We start from the raw sequence: 17,336 nt of genomic DNA on the forward strand, positions 1-17,336 counted from the left end.
TTAATGTTAGTCCTGTTAATACTGTGGTTGATGAGCTGGTATACCATCTAGGTGCCCAGTAAAAGAAAGACATGCACGCTAACATTTGGATTAGGAAATTACATTCAGGAATAATTTTTGTGAAGTACCCATTTTTTTTGCCGGGGGGTTGGTGGGGGCAGAAATATCCCTTTCAAATCGTTTTATTTTACATCTTCTTATTTTCTTTCATAACAACACCTCTGTGAGGAAAGTTAGACATTATTCTGTTTTGGAGATTGAGGAATGAAGGCATCCAGCCAAGTGGGAGGTGGTGGGGTATGCTGTGGTTAAGAGCACAGATTTGGAATCTGACTCAATACTGCAGCACCTACCAGTGGTGTGACAGGGGCTGTGATGTCTAGAAGCCTCAGTTTTCTGATTTGTAATCAGAGAAGATAGTGGTAATGACAGCTAATTCCGAGGGAAGTTGGAGGATTAAATGAGAGAGTATTTGGGGTGTTCAGCCTAGTTCATGGCTCATGGGAAGTCCTCAGCCGATGGGAATGGCAGGACACAGCTGCACCCAGCTGGGGAGCAGGAGTGTTCCATATTCAGATCTCTGATGTTCTTGTCACCAAACCATTTACTTTTTCCTGTTTGTAAAACCCTTACTTCCCTCTATGTTAAGAGCCAGTCACATGATGGCAAAATAATTTGTGTCAATGCAATCTGTTGCAGTTACATTTATGTAAAAGTGATTGATTTCATTGACTTCCTCTTCACCATATAGTGTTCCAGTTGATAATCACTTCCAAAAAGTTGAAGACCATTTCTCAGAATCAGAAAAATTTGAATAATTTTAAATAATTTTATAAGGTTTAACAGCTTATATAAAAAAATAGGTTTCTGGCTGATCACCGTGGCTCACGCCTGTAATCCCAGCACTTTGGGAGGCCAAGGTGAGTGGATTGCTTGAGCCCAAGAGTTGGAGACCAGCCTGTGCAATGTGGCGAAACCCCATCTCTACTAAAAATACAAAAAAATTAGTTGGGTGTGGTGTCATGTGTCTCTAGTCCCAGCTACTTGGGAGGCTGAGATGGGAGAATCACCTGAGCCTGGGAAGTTGAGACTGCAGTGACCCTAGATCATACCACTGCACTCTAGCCTGGATGACACAGTGAGACCCTGTCTCAAAAAAGTTAGATTTCTGTTCCTCTTCCAATAACTACTGGGAAACAAACTAGTTCAGGCAGACAAAGAAGTATAGAGAAAATATAATAAACATTGTAAATGTACCTCCAGTTTAAGAAATGAGACACGAAAAACACCGCTGAAGTTCACTGTGTTATTCCAATTGTCCATTTCTGTGAGGACCCCCCCAGAAATAACCACTGACTTGAACTTGGTGTTTATCATTCAGAATTGAGTGTTTTTTTTAAAACATTGTATTATTTTTTTTTCCACAGCTATCTGCATCATATTGGTGCATTTACTGATCCGATACAGATTACATTTCTTGCCAGAGAGTGTTGCTGTTGTTTCTTTAGGTAAGTGTGTATTGGTGATTCCATAATAAAAGCAGTAACAATAACTACCATTTTTTGAGTGCCTCTTTAGTGCCAGGAACCACAAGAGATGCATCACATCCCTGATCTCATTTGATCCTCACTGCAACCTGCCCTAAGGGTGCTATGATCCCATTTTACAGATGAGGACACTGGGGCTCAAGAAGGGTAGTGACCTCCTAAAGGTCATGTAGAAGCCCAAAGGCCATACAGCTCTGTACAGCTCAAAGGCCCTTTCTTAGCCTTTTGCTTCTGGTAGAACTACCCTTGGGGAACATTGACCTCTACTGCTAGGCTAGGCTGACATCCAACTCAACTAAGGTAAGTAATGACACTTCATAGAATCACTCAATTTTATAGACAGAAGGGACTCTGACTTTACAGTTTAGGAGGAAGAAATGGCTCACTTAATGCCAGAGTCAGGTCTAAAGTCTTCAGAGAGCATTGTGCTCTACCCCACTTACATTTCTGTTTTGTTTCCTGTGCCAATTAACTGTTGAGATCTAGTTGCAGTGAATGAACCCGTGTAATAACAGGTGTGAATGCACACACAAGTTCATTGAAGTGGTTAGTGAAGGAAGAAGTGGGGAATTTCCGTAAGTGTAAGTTCAAGGCTAAAATGTGGGTGGAGACATGTAAGGCACAGTAAATAAAGTCTTACTAAGGTCAGCCAAAGCTTTTTATCAGTTTATTATATTGCAGTCACTTTTACTAGTTTCTACTTGCCTACTGATGGTATTTAATTTTTCCTGATCACTGCTGATGTTTAGAAATTAACTTTCATTGCCTGGTAGATCTTTAGTGGAGTAGTAATTCTTTCACAAGATAGTTATTGTTTAGATTAGCTTTGGAAATGATTGTTTAGACTCTGTTCACTAGCCTCCCCCTCCTCCCATCACCCCAGCAGTCCTACTACCTTGGTTCAGACTCTCCTGTATTTTCCCTGGACTTCAGTACTAAGTGCCAGATCCTGGCTTGTGAGGCTTCACATTGTCATCTATCTCATTTATGCCTTATGACCTCCAGGTGATGCCGTATTTTAAGGAATGGGCACCACTGGATAGTGTTGACCTCGAGTACAGGTTTCAAAACCAGTTTTACTCAAAAAGTTCTTGTTCTGTTTTTAGCATGTTTTTTAGCAATATATCTTGGTAGATTCTAACAACCTTAGCTAGTAAGATAGTCATAGAGCTCTAAGAATAGGAGCCTTGCTCATTAACATTCCTTTCTGCTATTAGGCATATTGAAAAGAACCTATGTGACTAATACCCATAATTCTGGGACATTCGGTAAAGGCTCTAAGAACTACTCCAAGGAATTTACAGTTGTGTGGTCAGTTTTATAGCTTCTTACATAAATTTGTTATCAAAATTATAGTTGGTGTGTATTTAGATATTATACACATGAAAATTAAAATGATAATTCTTATAATTTCATTTGGAATTTCAAGCTCCTCATGTTTCTTGAATGTCTGGGTAACTGCAGCTTGCTGAACACCAGTGCTTCTATTAGGACTTAGAGCAGACATTGTTGGTGGCTTACCAAAGAGTCATTTCCCCCTTCTTCCTTGAAAATAGAACCCCAAATTTGATCAGGTATCTTGCCACAGTGTGCTCAAGGAAGATGGGCCCCTCCAAGTCAAGATTGGTCTTTGCCATCATGTTAATTTCACTCTTCTCTGCCAATGATTAGTTCAGAGGGGTAGGGGCGGCAAGGCAGTGTGAAACCCAGTTCTGGCCAGTGACACCAAGGGGAAGCGTGATGAGGTAGTGGGTCCTGGAAAATGTTTTCCTCTCAGATAGTAATGAGACATTTCCCCTTCATTTCTTTGATGCTGCTGAATGAGAGTGTGATGCCTAGTGGACTGGTAGCCATCTTGCAACTACTGTGGCTCAAAGACAAAAGCCAGAATGCTAAGGATTGCCGAGGGGACAGATGGGAATCCCAGATTATTGATAGCATTGTTGCTTTGTTGAGTTGATAGCCCTGAAACTTCCTATCTTAGTGCTACCTTTTATATGAGATAATAAACATCTATTAGCTGTTGTTGACTTGGAATAAAGAAAAAAAACCAAAACCAACATCTATTGTTTAAGCCATTTTTAGTCTAGGTTCTTTTACTTGCAACTAAAAGCATCTTAACTAACATAGAACTCTTTCCATTCAAGGGACAAAACCCAATTCAAAAGAAAATAAATTGGCCAGGCGCGGTGGCTTATGCCTGTAATTCTAGCACTTTGGGAGGCTGAGGTGGGTGGATCGCCTCAGGCCAGGAGTTCAAGACCAGCCTGGCCAACATGGTGAAACCCCTGTCTCTACTAAAAATAGAAAAATTAGCTGGGCATGGTGGCAGGTGCTTGTAATCCCAGCTACTCTGGAGGCTGAAGCAATAGAACCACTTGAGTCCAGGAGGCGGAAGTTGCATTGAGCTCCAGTCAACGCCAGGGCACTCCAGCCTGGGTGACAGAGCAAGACTCTGTCTCAAAACAAACAAACAAAAAAAATTGGTGGGGGTAGGGGCGCTCACCTCTTGACTCATGTAACTGGCAAAACTACAGGTAGTATTAGCTTGAGACTTAGCTGAATCAGGTCTCCTGGACCCAGTTCTTCTCCATGCCTCAGCAGTGAATCCCTTTTCCCCGGCTTCGCTGTCAGGCAGGCTCTCTCCCTGTGGTACTCTGATCCGTTCTCAGACAGGCTCTTGGTGTGGTAAGCCCTTAAAGCAGTAACTGCAGTGGGAGAGAGAACCTCCTCTTCTTTCTGGCACCAAAAGTTGCAGGATGAACTCTGACCACCTGGCGACCTCAACTGGGAGTGGGGTGGAATGGTGTTGGGAGTCAGCCAGAGCTCTCCATCTACAAGGTTCATTTCTTCACTGATGTTGCAGAAATAATTGTAGCCTGAATAGCTAGGTCTTGGGAGAAGTGATGGAAAGGCAGTCTTGCTTTCAATGCTTACTTGCTAACTCAGGTGACTGGAAACCCAAGAGCACTTCCAGGGAGAGTGCTGAGGTCCAGAAAGTACTTTTTAAAAATTATGTTAGAGGACATTTGGTTAGAATTTGTAAATGCTGACATAGCTATCAAAGTAATTCTGTATTTCATAAAGCTAAAGAAATGGAAGGAAAACGTTTTTCTCCAGCTGGAGCAAAGTGTAACAAAATATTGAGATATCTACCATTTCAAGAATTTCCAACTTTGTGCCAAAAAAGAATCTAGAAGAAGTTGCCAGAGAAAGTATGGTTTTCGTTCTTTCAGGGATAAATTTTCCTCTCCTGCCAGAAGTTGCTTTGTAGCTTGCAGTCATTTCGAGACATTACTGGTCTTTTGCTTTATAGTTAGGTGTTCAGCATTCCTAAGAAATTCTCAGTATAGAAAAGGACCATCTGCACTCCAAAAGCACATGTCCCCTCCTTCTACCTTACTGTATTTTTAAATGAGTGTCTGTCTGGCCACTTTTCATTCTTTATAAAAATATAGTATCAACCTGAAGTTCTAAAGAGTTCCTTGGCCCCTGTTCGAAGCTTTCAGGATACTTTCCATACTTTATGGAATTCTGTAGTTTGGGCCTTTTAAAAACTAATTTCTTTTGCACAGTTAAACAACTACTATATATAGAAAAAAGAAAAATCTTGTTTATTGACAATTATTTTTATCTTGTTTCATTCTCTTCCAGTCCATGTGTAGACATGTCCGTATGTATTAGATGCCTTTGTATAGTTTAATTTGAGTTTATATCATTTTTTCTGTTCTTTCCATGTATTAGTTGAGTTCACATATTTATTTATTTATCTTTTTTTTTTCAGACAGAGTCTCCTTCTTTCACCCAGGCTGGAGTGCAATCACGATCTTGGCGCACTGCAACCTCCGCCCCCTGGGTTCAAGCGATTCTCCTGCCTCAGCCTCCTGAGTAGCTGGGATTACAGGCACATACCACCATGCCTGGCTAATTTTTGTATTTTTAGTGGAGACAGGGTTTCACCATGTCGGCCAGGCTGGTCTCGAACTCCTGACCGCAAGTGATCTGCCTGCCTCGGCTTCCCAAAGTGCTGGGATTACAGGCATGAACCACTGTGCCCGGCCCATATTTATTTTTTTACTGGCTGTGTAATGCTGATTCATGTATATATTTTAGGCTAAAATTTGTAAGGAATGAAAATGAGGCTGGGTGCAGTGGCTCATGCCTGTAATCCCAGCACTTTGGGAGGCCGAGGCGGGCAGATCACCTGAGGTCAAGAGTTCGAGAACAACCTGGCCAACATGGCGAAACCCCATCTCTACTAAAAATAACAAAAATTAGTCAGGCATGGTGGTGCACGCCTATAGTCCCAGCTATTCAGGAGGATGGGGCAGGAGAATCACTTGAACTTGGGAGGCAGAGGTTGCAGTGAGCTGAGATCGTGCCACTGCATTCCAGCCTGGGCAACAGATAGAGACTGCATCTCGAAAAAAAAAAAAAAAGAAAAAGAAAATGAAATACTTGTAAGCGTATGGCCAGCATCCTCTGTTGAATAATACCAAAGACAGGAGTTTCCCCCAACCCCAAAAATCATGCTTTATTTTAGAGTGAGAAAAGGCCAGATTAGGGTTATAAGTGGAGGGCTGAAAGTTTGACTTTCAGTTGCCAAAGTTTAGCCTTAATACTGCTGATGATTAGAAAAACTGTGATCTAACTTACAAACTAGATTTGATTGAATCATTGGGTAAATAGAATATACAAAAGTGCTCCCCTGTCATAACTTTTTAAACCATATTTGTGCTATTTAATTCTATTCCTTCTTGTTTTCTACTAAAAGATTTTAATTTTTTTGTTTTTTAAGGATAGTACTTTTGGCCAGTTACAGCTCTTTTAGAATTTGTCGAGCAGGCTTTCCAGTTTTTGTTGGAAAGCCCCCGTACCCCCACCAAAAAAAAATTTTTTTTTTTTTTTTTTTTTTTTGAGATAGAGTTTCACTTTTGCCGCCCAGGCTGGAGTGCAATGGCACGATCTCGGCTCACTGCAACCTCCGTCTCCCGGGTTCAAGTGATTCTCCTGCCTCAGCCTCCCGAGTAGCTGGGATTATAGGTGCCTGCCACCACGCCCAGCTAATTTTTTGTATTTTTAGTAGAAACAGGGTTTCACCATGTTAGCCAGGCTGGTCTTGAACTCCTGACATCAGGTAATCCGCCTGCCTCGGCCTCCCAAAATGCTGGGATTACAGGCGTGAGCTAATGCACCCCGCCTAATTTTATATATATATTTTTTAGTAGAGACGGGGTTTCTTCATGTTGGTCAGGCTGGTCTTGAACTCCCGACCTCAGGTGATCCACCACCTTGGTCTCCCAAAGTGTTGGAATTACAGCCGTGAGCCACTGTGCCTGGCCAAAAAATTGTTTTTAATTAAAAAAAAAAAAAAGGGCCTGGCACAGTGGCTCATGCCTGTAATCCCAGCACTTTGGGAGGCCGAGGTGGCCGGATCACCTTGAGGTCAGGAGTTTGAAACCAGCCTGGCCAACATGGCAAAACCTCATCTCTATTAAAAATACAAAAATTACCCAAGCATGGTGGCATATATCTGTAATCCCAGCTACTCAGGAGGCTGAGGCAGGAGAATCACTTTACTCCGGTAGACGGAGGTTGCAGTGAGCCAAGATTGTGCCACTGCACTCCAGCCTGGGTGACAGAGTGAGACTCTGTCTCAAATAAATAGTAATAATAATAATAATAATAATGTATTAATATATTTTACACATTAGCACAGTGCATGGCACACAGTATAGATGTGTGTGTGTGTGTATGTATGCATTTATTTCTTTTTAACACAGTGCAAATACATAGGTGTGTGTGTATGTGTGTATATATAGATTTTTTTTTTTTTTTGAGAGAGAGAGAACTTGTGCTGGGATTCTACACTTTGTAACCTGATTATTAATACATTTGAGGATGTTTTCGGTGGCCCATGCGTCGGGGATGGTTGGATAGTAAGATGGGGGCTGTGAGTTCGCTGCTCAGCAACTTGATGTGGGGGAAACTCGGCTGGTATCCTCCTTCACCAGGAAAGATCGTTAATCCACCGAAGGACTTGAAGAAACCTCATGGGGCTGGGCGCGGTGGCTCACGCCTGTGATCACAGCACTTTGGGAGGCCAAGGTGGGCGGATCACGAGGTCAGGAGATTGAGACCATCCTGGCTAACATGGTGAAATCCCGTCTATACTAAAAATACAAAAAAAAAAAATTAGCCAGGCGTGGTGGCGGGCGTCTAGTCCTAGCTCCTCAGGAGGCTGAGGCAGGAGAATAGCATGAACCCGGGAGGTGGAGCTTGCAGTGAGCCGAGATCGCACCACTGCACTCCAACCTGGGCAACAGAGTGAGACTCCATCTCAAAAAAAAAAAAGAACCTCATGGAAAGAAATGCTTCTTTGTGAAATTTTTTTGGAACATAAGATCATGCCTGGATTAAAGTGAAACAGCTGAAGCCATATCATGCTCATAAAGAGGAAATGATAAAGATTCACAAGGGTAAACTATTCCAGCAAGCGGTGGATGCCGCCAAAGAGTTTCTCAGGAGAGCCCAAAGGGAAAGATCAGACGTCATCCCACAATTCTGCTGATGACAAGAATCGGCTTAATTCCAGTGAGGAGAGAAGCAGGCCAAACTCAGGTGATGAGAAGTGCAAACAGCCTGTCTGAAGGAAAAGTGAAGAAGATCATGGGAGATGGAAAGAAGGGGGTGTCTTCGGGCTCTTCAGAGACAGGCTCCAAATCCCCTCTGAAAAGAATCCAAGAGCAAAGTCCCCAGAAGCGGGGTCAGCCCCCAAAGAATGAGAAGAATGTCACCATCGTGGAGTCCGGTACCTTGAAGTGGATGATGGCCGGACCAGTGGCTGCATTTAAATGGCAGCCGACCAGAAGCGAGCCTGTTAAAGATGCAGATCCTCATTTCCATCATTTCCTGCTAAGCCAAACAAGCCATCTCTGTCTGTTACCAGGCAATCACAAAGAAGTTGAAAATATGTGAAGAGGAAACTGGTTCCACCTCCATCCGGGCAGCTGACAGCACGGCCGTGAATGGCAGCATCACAGACAAAAAGATGGGATTTGGGGGCCTTGGTCTCATGAGAAGTGGAATCGTCTCTAACTTGCTAAAAATGGGTCACACAGTGACTGTCTGGAACCGCACTGCCAAGAAACGTGATTTGTTCATCTAGGAGGGGGCCCGCCTGGGAAGAACCCCTGCTGAAGTCCTCTCAACCTGTGACATCACTTTCGCCCGTGTGTTGGATCCCAAGGCGGCCAAGGACCTGGTGCTGGGCCCCAGTGGTATGCTGCAAGGGATCTGCCCTGGAAAGTGCTACGTGGACATGTCAACGGTGGACGCTGACATAGTCACTTAGCTGGCCTGGGTGATTGCGTCCAGGTCGGGGGGTCGCTTTCCAGAAGCTCCCATCTCAGGGAATCAGCAGCTTTCTAATCACAGAATGTTGGTGATCTTAGCAGCTGGAGACAGGGGCCTATAGGAGGACTGCAGCAGCTGCTTCCAGGCGATAGGGAAGACCTCCTCCTTCCTAGGTGAAGTTGGCAACGCAGCCAAGATGATGCTGATTGTAAACATAGTCCAAGGGAGCTTCATAGCCATGATCACTGAGGTGCTGACCCTGGCCTAGGTGACAGATCAGGCCCAGCAGACACTCTTGGACATCCTCAATCAGGGACAGTTGGCCAGCATCTTCCTAGACCAGAAGTGCCAAAATACCCTGCAAGGAAACTTTAAGCCTGATTTCTACTGAAATACATGCAGAAGGATCTCTGCTTAGCCATTGCGCTGGGCAATGCGGTCAACTCTCTGACTCCCATGGCAGCTGCAGCCAACCAGGTGTACAAAAGAGCCAAGGCACTGGACCAGTCCAACAATATGTCCGCTGTGTCCTGAGCCTGCATACACTAAGCCGTCGGACCCCCCACCCCCAGCCCTCTAATCTCTCCGCTAACTCCCTCTTCCTCACATGGGGTCAGGGGCCTGGGACTTTGCTCTGGACCAGCCCACCTGTCTCCATTTCCTTTTACACAGACTTTGAGACTTGCCATCAGCACAGCACACAGCAGCACCCTTCCTTTGAGGCTGGTATGGAGGGGATGAGTGTCAGCAGGATTGGCTCATGGGAAAGCTCTTGAGCTGGGCACTGGCCTCCACACGAGGAGGTGGCTGTGTGTGCACGCACACACACGAGGAGGTGGCTGTGTACACACACAAACACACACACACTCTCTCTCTCTCTCTCTCTCTCTCTCTCTGTCTCTCTCTCTCTCACCCCAGGATAGAAACTGCCCAGAAACAGCTGCCTGGCTTTTTTTCTTCTTCCAAGCTTGTCTTATCTCAAACCCCTTCCAGTCAAGGAACTAGAATCAGCAATGAGAGTTGGAAGCCTTCCCACAGCTTCCCCAAGAGCGAAGAGGCTATAGTCATGTCCACGTCCCCCGCTGAATTCTCTGCAGGGAGAGGACTTGGGCCCAGATGAGCCAGACCAGACTCCAGACAGAGGGTCCCGTGGGGCCCCCAAACTCAGGTGATGAGCTGAGAAAGAGAAAGATGTTCATGTCTAAGTGTCCAGTGTGCACCTAGCACTCCTTAGACGCCTTTGTGAACTGAAAAGAGACTGGCAGAGTCCTGCGAAAATGAGGCCCTGGCTTTCCAGGGAGTATGGTGAGCATCTGGCCTTCGCTGCCTGGAAGTGACACCCCAGACACCACTGCCACAGTGGGCGCTTGCCCCGCCCTGGGCTGTTCTAGTATTTGGATTTGCATTCCAGTCCTTGGGAGGGGGTCCTCAGGGTCATTAGTGAGGAGCCAAGAGGAGTGGGGTTGGGGGACACTCCTTCCTGTTTCTGTTAGGCCACAGACTCTTCACCTGCCTCTGAAGAGCTGCTCTGACCTTGGTCTCCTCCCCGCAGTCCCACATTCTCCAGCCTGCCCTGCCAAGCCCCTTGCATGCCCACTGCTCTCTGTCCTCCCTTCTCCCCACCTTCCTCTCATGGAGACAGTATTTCTTTCTGTCTGTCTGTCCCTTCTTTGGCCCAGACCCAGCCTGACCAACGATAAGCATTTCTTAGGCTCAGCTCTTGATATGGAAATGAGTGTCTTCACTCCAGCCAGCATCATGGTCTTCGGTGCTTCCAGGCCTGGGGTCTGTCGGGGGTGAAAAGAACTGGCCTGACCTACCTGAACTGACTGACCCTCTGGGGTGGGTCTGGGACATCCTCGAGGCCCTAGCATTTCTCCTTGGATAGGGGACCAGAGGGCGCTTGGGATGTTGCATAAGAACAGGAAGTCACCCAAGGGATGTCAATTTCTTATCCCTCTACATGGGTTGGATTTTCCAAAATCATAATTTGCAGAAGACCAGCACTTATGGTGGAATGTATATTATAAGGCAGCCACACTGGGGCAGGGTCCTTCCCCTCTCCCCACTCACGGCTTTGGCCCTTTCACAGATTAGAACCTGAGTTAGAGGATTGCAGAAGACGAGGTGGGAGGGCAGGGAAGATGCCTGTCAGGTTTTTAGCACAGTTTATTTCACTGGGATTTTGAAACATTTCTGTTTGAACACAAAGCCTGTTCTAGTCTTGGCAGGACACATTCTGGGGGTGGGGGTGGAGGAAGATGTGGTAATGTAACCGGTTAGTCAGTGTTGTCTTAATATTGTTGACAATTCTGTAAAGTTCCTTTTTATAAATATTTGTTAAGCTGTTTCACCTTTGTTTTGAAATCCTTTCCTTTTTTTTTTTGGAGACAGAGTCTCACTCTATCACCCAGGCTGGAGTGCAATGGCATGGTCTCAGCTCACTGCAACCTTCCCCTCCCGGGTCCAAGCGATTCTCCCACCTCAGCCTCCCAAGTAGCTGGGACTACAGGCACGTGCCACCACACTCCGCTAATTTTTGTATTTTTAGCGGAGACGGGGTTTCACTATGTTGGCCAGGCTGGTCTCGAACTCCTGACCTCGTGATCCGCCCACCTTGGCCTCTGAAAGTGCTGGGATTACAGGTGTGAGCCGCCATGCCTAGCGTGTCCTTCCCTTTTAAGCAGAAAATGTGACACTTGTGAAAAAGCTTGTAAGACAGCACTTCCCTTTTTTTCCCTTTAAACCTTTAAATGGCAAATCTAGGTAATTAAAGTTGTGAATTTTTATTTTTGCTTTGTTTTTAATGAACACTTGTCTTTCAGAATAGGATTGTGTGATAATGTCTAAATGGCAAAAACAAAACGTGATTTTGCACAATTAACAAAACTACTGCAAGAAAAATAAAACATTTCTTGGTAACAAAAAAAATTAATACATTTGAAACATTTTTCATGTAACCTTACTGACCAGGAATACTTATATTTTACAGTCATAATGGTAGCCCTGCAGTGCACTCTGGGAGTGAGCGAGCGAGCATTGGCAGTTCATTGTAGTAGTGTAGGCAGCCTGCAGTAGTGCAGTCTCCTGTGTCTTTAGCATGATGAGATGGTAGGATGCACCCGAGCCAACGGGCCAGCATCCTTACTGGCCCTAAGCTCTCAGAAAAGCTTCTTAAACTCTCTGAGCTTCCCTACAGTGTTCTTTTGAGGATTAGAAGTAATTGAAAGTGACAAATCCTGAAAGAAGCAGCTCAACAAATAATCATTAATTGCTCCTGATCCTCTGAATGAATTGAGGGGTGTCCTTAATTAGGTGTATGCACAAAGATCAACTAGGAGCAAAGGAAAATGTTAGAACTTGTGTTTCTATTTATTTTTAACCTCACTCTTTTACAATTTCTATTTTTTTGTGAATATTTTTAAATATAAGCTGGGCGCAGTGGCTCACGCCTGTAATCCCAGCACTTTGGGAGGCTGAGACAGGCGGATCACCTGAGGTTGGGAGTTCAAGACCAGCTTGGCCAACATGGTGAAACTCTGTCTCTGCTAAAAATACAAAAATTAGCCGGGCGTGGTGGTGCACGCTTGTAATATTAGCTTGTCTCTCTCTCTCTCTCTCTCTCTCTCTCTCTCTCTCTCTCTCTCTCTATATATATATATATATATATATATATATACACACACACACTATGTATATACACACACTGTATATACGCACTATATGCACTATATATACACACAGTATATGTATATACACACACTATATATACAGTGTGTATATATATATATACTGTGTATATATATATATACTGTATATATATATATACTGTGTATATATATATATACTGTGTATATATATATACTGTGTATATATATATACTGTATATATATACTGTATATATATATATATACTGTATATATATATACTGTGTATATATATATATACTGTATATATACACACACACACTATATATATGCCATATATAATATCTGGTGGCCAGTTGTGTGAAATACATTCATTTTCTCTGTTGGGTAGATTGATTTGACCTAACTATGAGCCTCAATCTCAAGAGGTAAAGTGGTAGTTTGCCAATTTAATGCTGCACAAAGGATTATTTAAGTAATAATAACAATAATATCACATTGTATTTTACAGCGCTTCCTAGTACATCATAAATAATAAAAAGACGCAGGCTTGGGCAATAGAATAATTACTGATTTTCAAATGTAACTGCTTCATGTGTGATTATAAACGAGGTAATCATGGCATTAAGGTTTGGTATACATTTAGAAGGGAAAAAGAAAGTTGAGGTTTTAGTAAAGCAGAAAAACACTAAGCTTTAAAAATGAAGCCTGAAACCATGGAAAGAGGTTTAACTTCCCTAGTAATCAGGATGATTGCTGAATGCAAATTGAATCAAATACAAATTGAAACATTAAAGTACAATTTCTTGCCCACTATGTTGGCAGAAATGTTAACATCTGATGATTATCCAGCGCGACTGAGGATGTGGGACGCTTTCTTGTGGAAGTGTAAGTCGGTACAACCACTTTGGAGGATAATTTGGCAATATTTTCAGAGTTAAAAATGCTTATGCTTTGTAAACCTGCCATTTGTAGTCTCTGGATCTGCCCTAGGGAGATAGTCTGGGTTTGTTTTTTTTTTTGTGAATGTCTTCCACAGGGAGATACTCTTAACACAGAGTGGCATGTACAAGCATGTTCAATGCAGCACCACTGTTAATAGCAAACAGCTGGAGGCAACCATCAGTGGGGCAATGGTTCAAAAGGTTGTGATTTTAAAAAAAAGGTACAATATAATTCACATATCATAAATTTCACCATCTTAAAGTGCACAATTCAGAGTTTTTTAGTATATTCACAGAGTTGTACTACCATCACCTCTACCTAATTCCAGAACATTTTCATTACCCCAAAAAGAAACTCATACCCATTAGCAGTCACTCCCCATTTCCACATTTCTCCCTTCTCCCATCCCCTGGAAACCACCAATCTACTTTCTGTCTGTGAATTTGCCTGTCCTGGACATTTCGTATAAAGAAATAGAATCATACAATCGGTGGTACTTTTTATTTGGCAACAGCTTTATTGAGATGTACTTTGTATGCCACACAATTCACTTTTTTTTTTTTTTTTTTTTTTTTGAGATGGAGTCTTGCTCTATCACCCAGGCTGGAGTGCAGTGCTACAATCTCAGCTTACTGCAACCTCCGCCTCCTGGGTTCAAGCGATTTTCCTGCCTCAGCCTCCCCAGTAGCTGTAATTACAGGTGCCCGCCATCACGCCCAACTGCTTTTTTTGTATTTTTAGTAGAGACGGGGTTTCACTATGTTGACCAGGCTGGTCTTGAACTCCTGACCTCAGCCTCCCAAAGTGCTGGGATTACAGGCATGAGCCACCATGCCCAGCCAATTCACCCATTTTAAATGTACAACAATTTTTAGTATGTTCAGAGTCGTGCAGCCATCACCACAGTCAATTTTAGGACATTTTTATCACCTCAAAAAGAAACCACATGCCCTTTAGCTCTCCTCCCTGTCCCTGGGCAACCATTACTGTCCCTGTAGATTTGTCTATTGTGGACATTTCATATAAATGGAATGGTAAAATATATGGTCTTTTGTGTCTGGCTTCTTTCACTTGGTGTATTTTCAAGATTCTTCCATGTTCTGGCAGGTACCAGTACTTCATTCCTTTTCATTGCTGAATAATATTACATTGTATGGATATACCACATTTTGTTTACTCACTCATTAGTTGATAGACATTTGGGTTCTTCCCACTTTTTTTTTGAAATGGAGTCTAACTTTGTCACCCAGGCCGGAGTGCAGTGGCGCAATCTCGGCCTACTGCAACCGCCGCCTCCCAGGTTCCAGCGATTCTCCTGCCTCTCCCAAGTAGCTGGGACTGCAGGTGCATACCACCATGCGCAGATAATTTTTGTATTTTTAGTAGAGACGGGGTTTCACCATGTTGTTCAGGCTGGTCTTGAACTGACCTCAAGCAGTCCACCCACCTGCGCCTCCCAAAGTGCTGGGATTACAGGTGTGAGCCACCACACCTGGCCTCTTTCCACCCTGTGACTGTTTGAAATACTGCTGTTAGGAATATCTGTGTACAGGTTTTTACATGAACATGTTTTCAGTTTCTTTGAGTAGAATTGCTGGGTCATAAGGTAACTTTTGAGGAATTGCCAAACTGTTTTCCATGGTGGTTGCCCCATTTTACATTCCCATCAGCAATGAGTGCGTGTTCCAATTTCTCTATATCCTTGCCAACACTTATTTCTCATCTTTAAAATTATAACTGTGAAAGGAAGACAAATCTTGGGACCCTAAAATCACTAAGCTAAAGGGAAAGGTCAATCTGGGAGCTGCTTAGGACAAACCTGCCTCCCATTCTATTTCTAAAAAGATAGCTACTAAGATAAAAAAGTTAACATACCTCCCTCTCAATTTGTACACAAGAAAATTCCTTGTGGACAAAGGACAGAACTCAAAGTCACCCCTCTCTTTGTTGAGATAAATGCATATCTGATTGCTTCCTTTGGAAAGGCTAATCAGAAACTCAAAAGAATGAAACTGTTTGTCTCTTATTTATCTGTGACCTGGAAGCCCCCTCCCTGCTTCTAGTTGTCCCACCTTTCCAGACCAAACCAATGTACATCTTACATTGTTGATAGATGTCTCATGTCTCCCTAAAATGTATAAAACGAAGCTGTGCCCCGACCACCTTGGGCACATGTCGTCAGGACCTCCTGAGGCTGTGTCAAGGGTGGTCATCCTTAATGTTGGCAAAATAAACTTCCTAACTTGACTGAGACTTGTCTCAGATACTCTGGTTTACATAACCATCCTAGTAGGTATGGAGTGGTATCTCATTGTAGTTTTTATTTGCATTTCCCTAATGATTTATGATGTTGAACATCTTTTCATGTGTTTCTCAGCCATTTGTATATCTTCTTTTCCAAAATATCTATTCAATTTTTTTTATTATTTTTATTTTCATTTTATTTTATATAATATTTTGAGTTGGAGTCTCACTCTGTCCACCAGGCTGGAGTGCAGTGGCATGATCTCAGCTCACTGCAACCTCTGCCTCCTGGGTTCAAGTGATTCTCCTGCCTCAGCCTCCTGAATAGCTAGGATTAGAGGCGCCCGCCATGCCCGGCTAATTTTTGTATTTTTTTAGTAGAGACTGTATTTCACTGTGTTGGCCAGGCTGGTCTCGAACTCCTGACCTCAGGTCATCTGCCCGCTTCAGCCTCCTAACGTGCTGGGATTACAGGCATGAGCCACCACGCCTGGTCGGTTCTGTGTGGCATTTTTATACTATCCTGCCCAGCTGTTAAAAGGAATGAAGCAAATCTATACATAATAATCCCTGACTAGATCTCTAAGACTTAATGTTGAACAAAATAGCAAGTAGTAGGATGATACATTATACTACCATAAATTTTATATAAATAAATACACTCAGGTGTGCCATGCATACACTTACACACACACACACAAACACTCACACCCTGGTACTGTTGAGTTAAATATATGTAAGAGGATAGAGAAGGGCCTGATATAATATTTCCCAAACTTTCCAAGATAGTTGGTTACCTTGGGCTAGGAAGAGAGAGAACGAAGATGGGGGTGGAAGTGGGGTATGATCTAAAGGGGCTTTTGTCTTATTTATGACATTTTACATAGTATCCGCATACTATTTGGCCAATAAAACATGTAAAAGCTCCTTAAAATGTAATTACAACCTGAAAAAATAAGAACATGGGAGCTGTTGGGGAACTGTAGCAGGAGATGGGTTCAAATCCATGCTCCATGCCCTCTGGCAAGGGAATGTGTATTCATTGACTCCTTTTATAGCTCAGCTTTATTTTGTCTTGGGTCCTTCCTCTTTTTCAAAATAGTTTTATTATTTTTTAATACTATATAACAATTCAAATAGCATGGAGGTTTATAAAGTGAAAATGAACTTATCTCCCCTCTTCACCTGAAACTACCCACCCTGAGGTAGTTTTAGTGCACGTCCTTTTCCTGCTCAGCTTCTGTGTTCTGGTATTGTCTCCTGCCCACCCAGTAAGCTGTGCTTCCATCTTCTCGTTGATGGCGAAAGCTCCTTCCTCCATGGGAAAGTGAAGTCTTCGTTTTGAAGCATCCATGGAATGGCCTGCAGGCTTGCTTTGTGTCACCTCCTACCCGAGATTGTGATTGTGTCACCTCCTACCGAGACTGTGAACTCCTACCCTACAATGAGTAGGTCTGGAGTTCTACTTGGGCGTCTTTATTTTATAAAAAGTTCCCATGGTGATTCTGGTGAACCAACAGAGGGTTAAGAGTCGTTTATCTAGGGAGTAACAGAGCAATCATAAATTGTGCCCATGCTGCTTCTTTGAGAATTATTT

At 43.3% G+C, this 17,336-nt stretch overlaps 1 protein-coding gene and 2 pseudogenes across 18 annotated transcripts in view, besides 2 other annotated features; all 3 read left to right on the top strand.

Annotated features, from left to right (window-relative positions):
* SLC9A8 (solute carrier family 9 member A8) overlaps positions 1–17,336 on the top strand; it is a 79,415-nt gene that overhangs the window by 8,806 nt on the left and 53,273 nt on the right. For all 18 annotated transcript variants that reach the window (NR_048537.2, NR_048539.2, NR_048540.2 and 15 more), the window contains exon 3: positions 1,428–1,508. Coding sequence is in view for 14 of the 18 variants with exons in the window: in XM_011528736.3 (XP_011527038.1) it covers positions 1,428–1,508 (81 nt within the window). In the remaining 4 variants the exon portion in view is untranslated. The remainder of the gene's footprint in view (positions 1–1,427; positions 1,509–17,336) is intronic.
* RNU7-72P (RNA, U7 small nuclear 72 pseudogene) lies at positions 6,363–6,419 on the top strand (annotated as a pseudogene).
* Positions 7,469–9,732, top strand: GLYR1P1 (GLYR1 pseudogene 1; annotated as a pseudogene).
* Positions 14,438–14,938: an enhancer, noted in NCBI's record as "H3K4me1 hESC enhancer chr20:48452608-48453108 (GRCh37/hg19 assembly coordinates)". NCBI's record gives its function as "activates a minimal SCP1, AML or CMV promoter by ChIP-STARR-seq in naive H9 embryonic stem cells {active_cell/tissue: H9 hESC(naive)}" and the evidence as "EXISTENCE:reporter gene assay evidence [ECO:0000049][PMID:30033119]".
* Positions 14,939–15,439: an enhancer, noted in NCBI's record as "H3K4me1 hESC enhancer chr20:48453109-48453609 (GRCh37/hg19 assembly coordinates)". NCBI's record gives its function as "activates a minimal SCP1, AML or CMV promoter by ChIP-STARR-seq in naive H9 embryonic stem cells {active_cell/tissue: H9 hESC(naive)}" and the evidence as "EXISTENCE:reporter gene assay evidence [ECO:0000049][PMID:30033119]".

This window comes from Homo sapiens, chromosome 20, assembly GCF_000001405.40.
Source record: "Homo sapiens chromosome 20, GRCh38.p14 Primary Assembly".
In the NCBI taxonomy this organism is placed as follows: domain Eukaryota; kingdom Metazoa; phylum Chordata; class Mammalia; order Primates; family Hominidae; genus Homo; species Homo sapiens.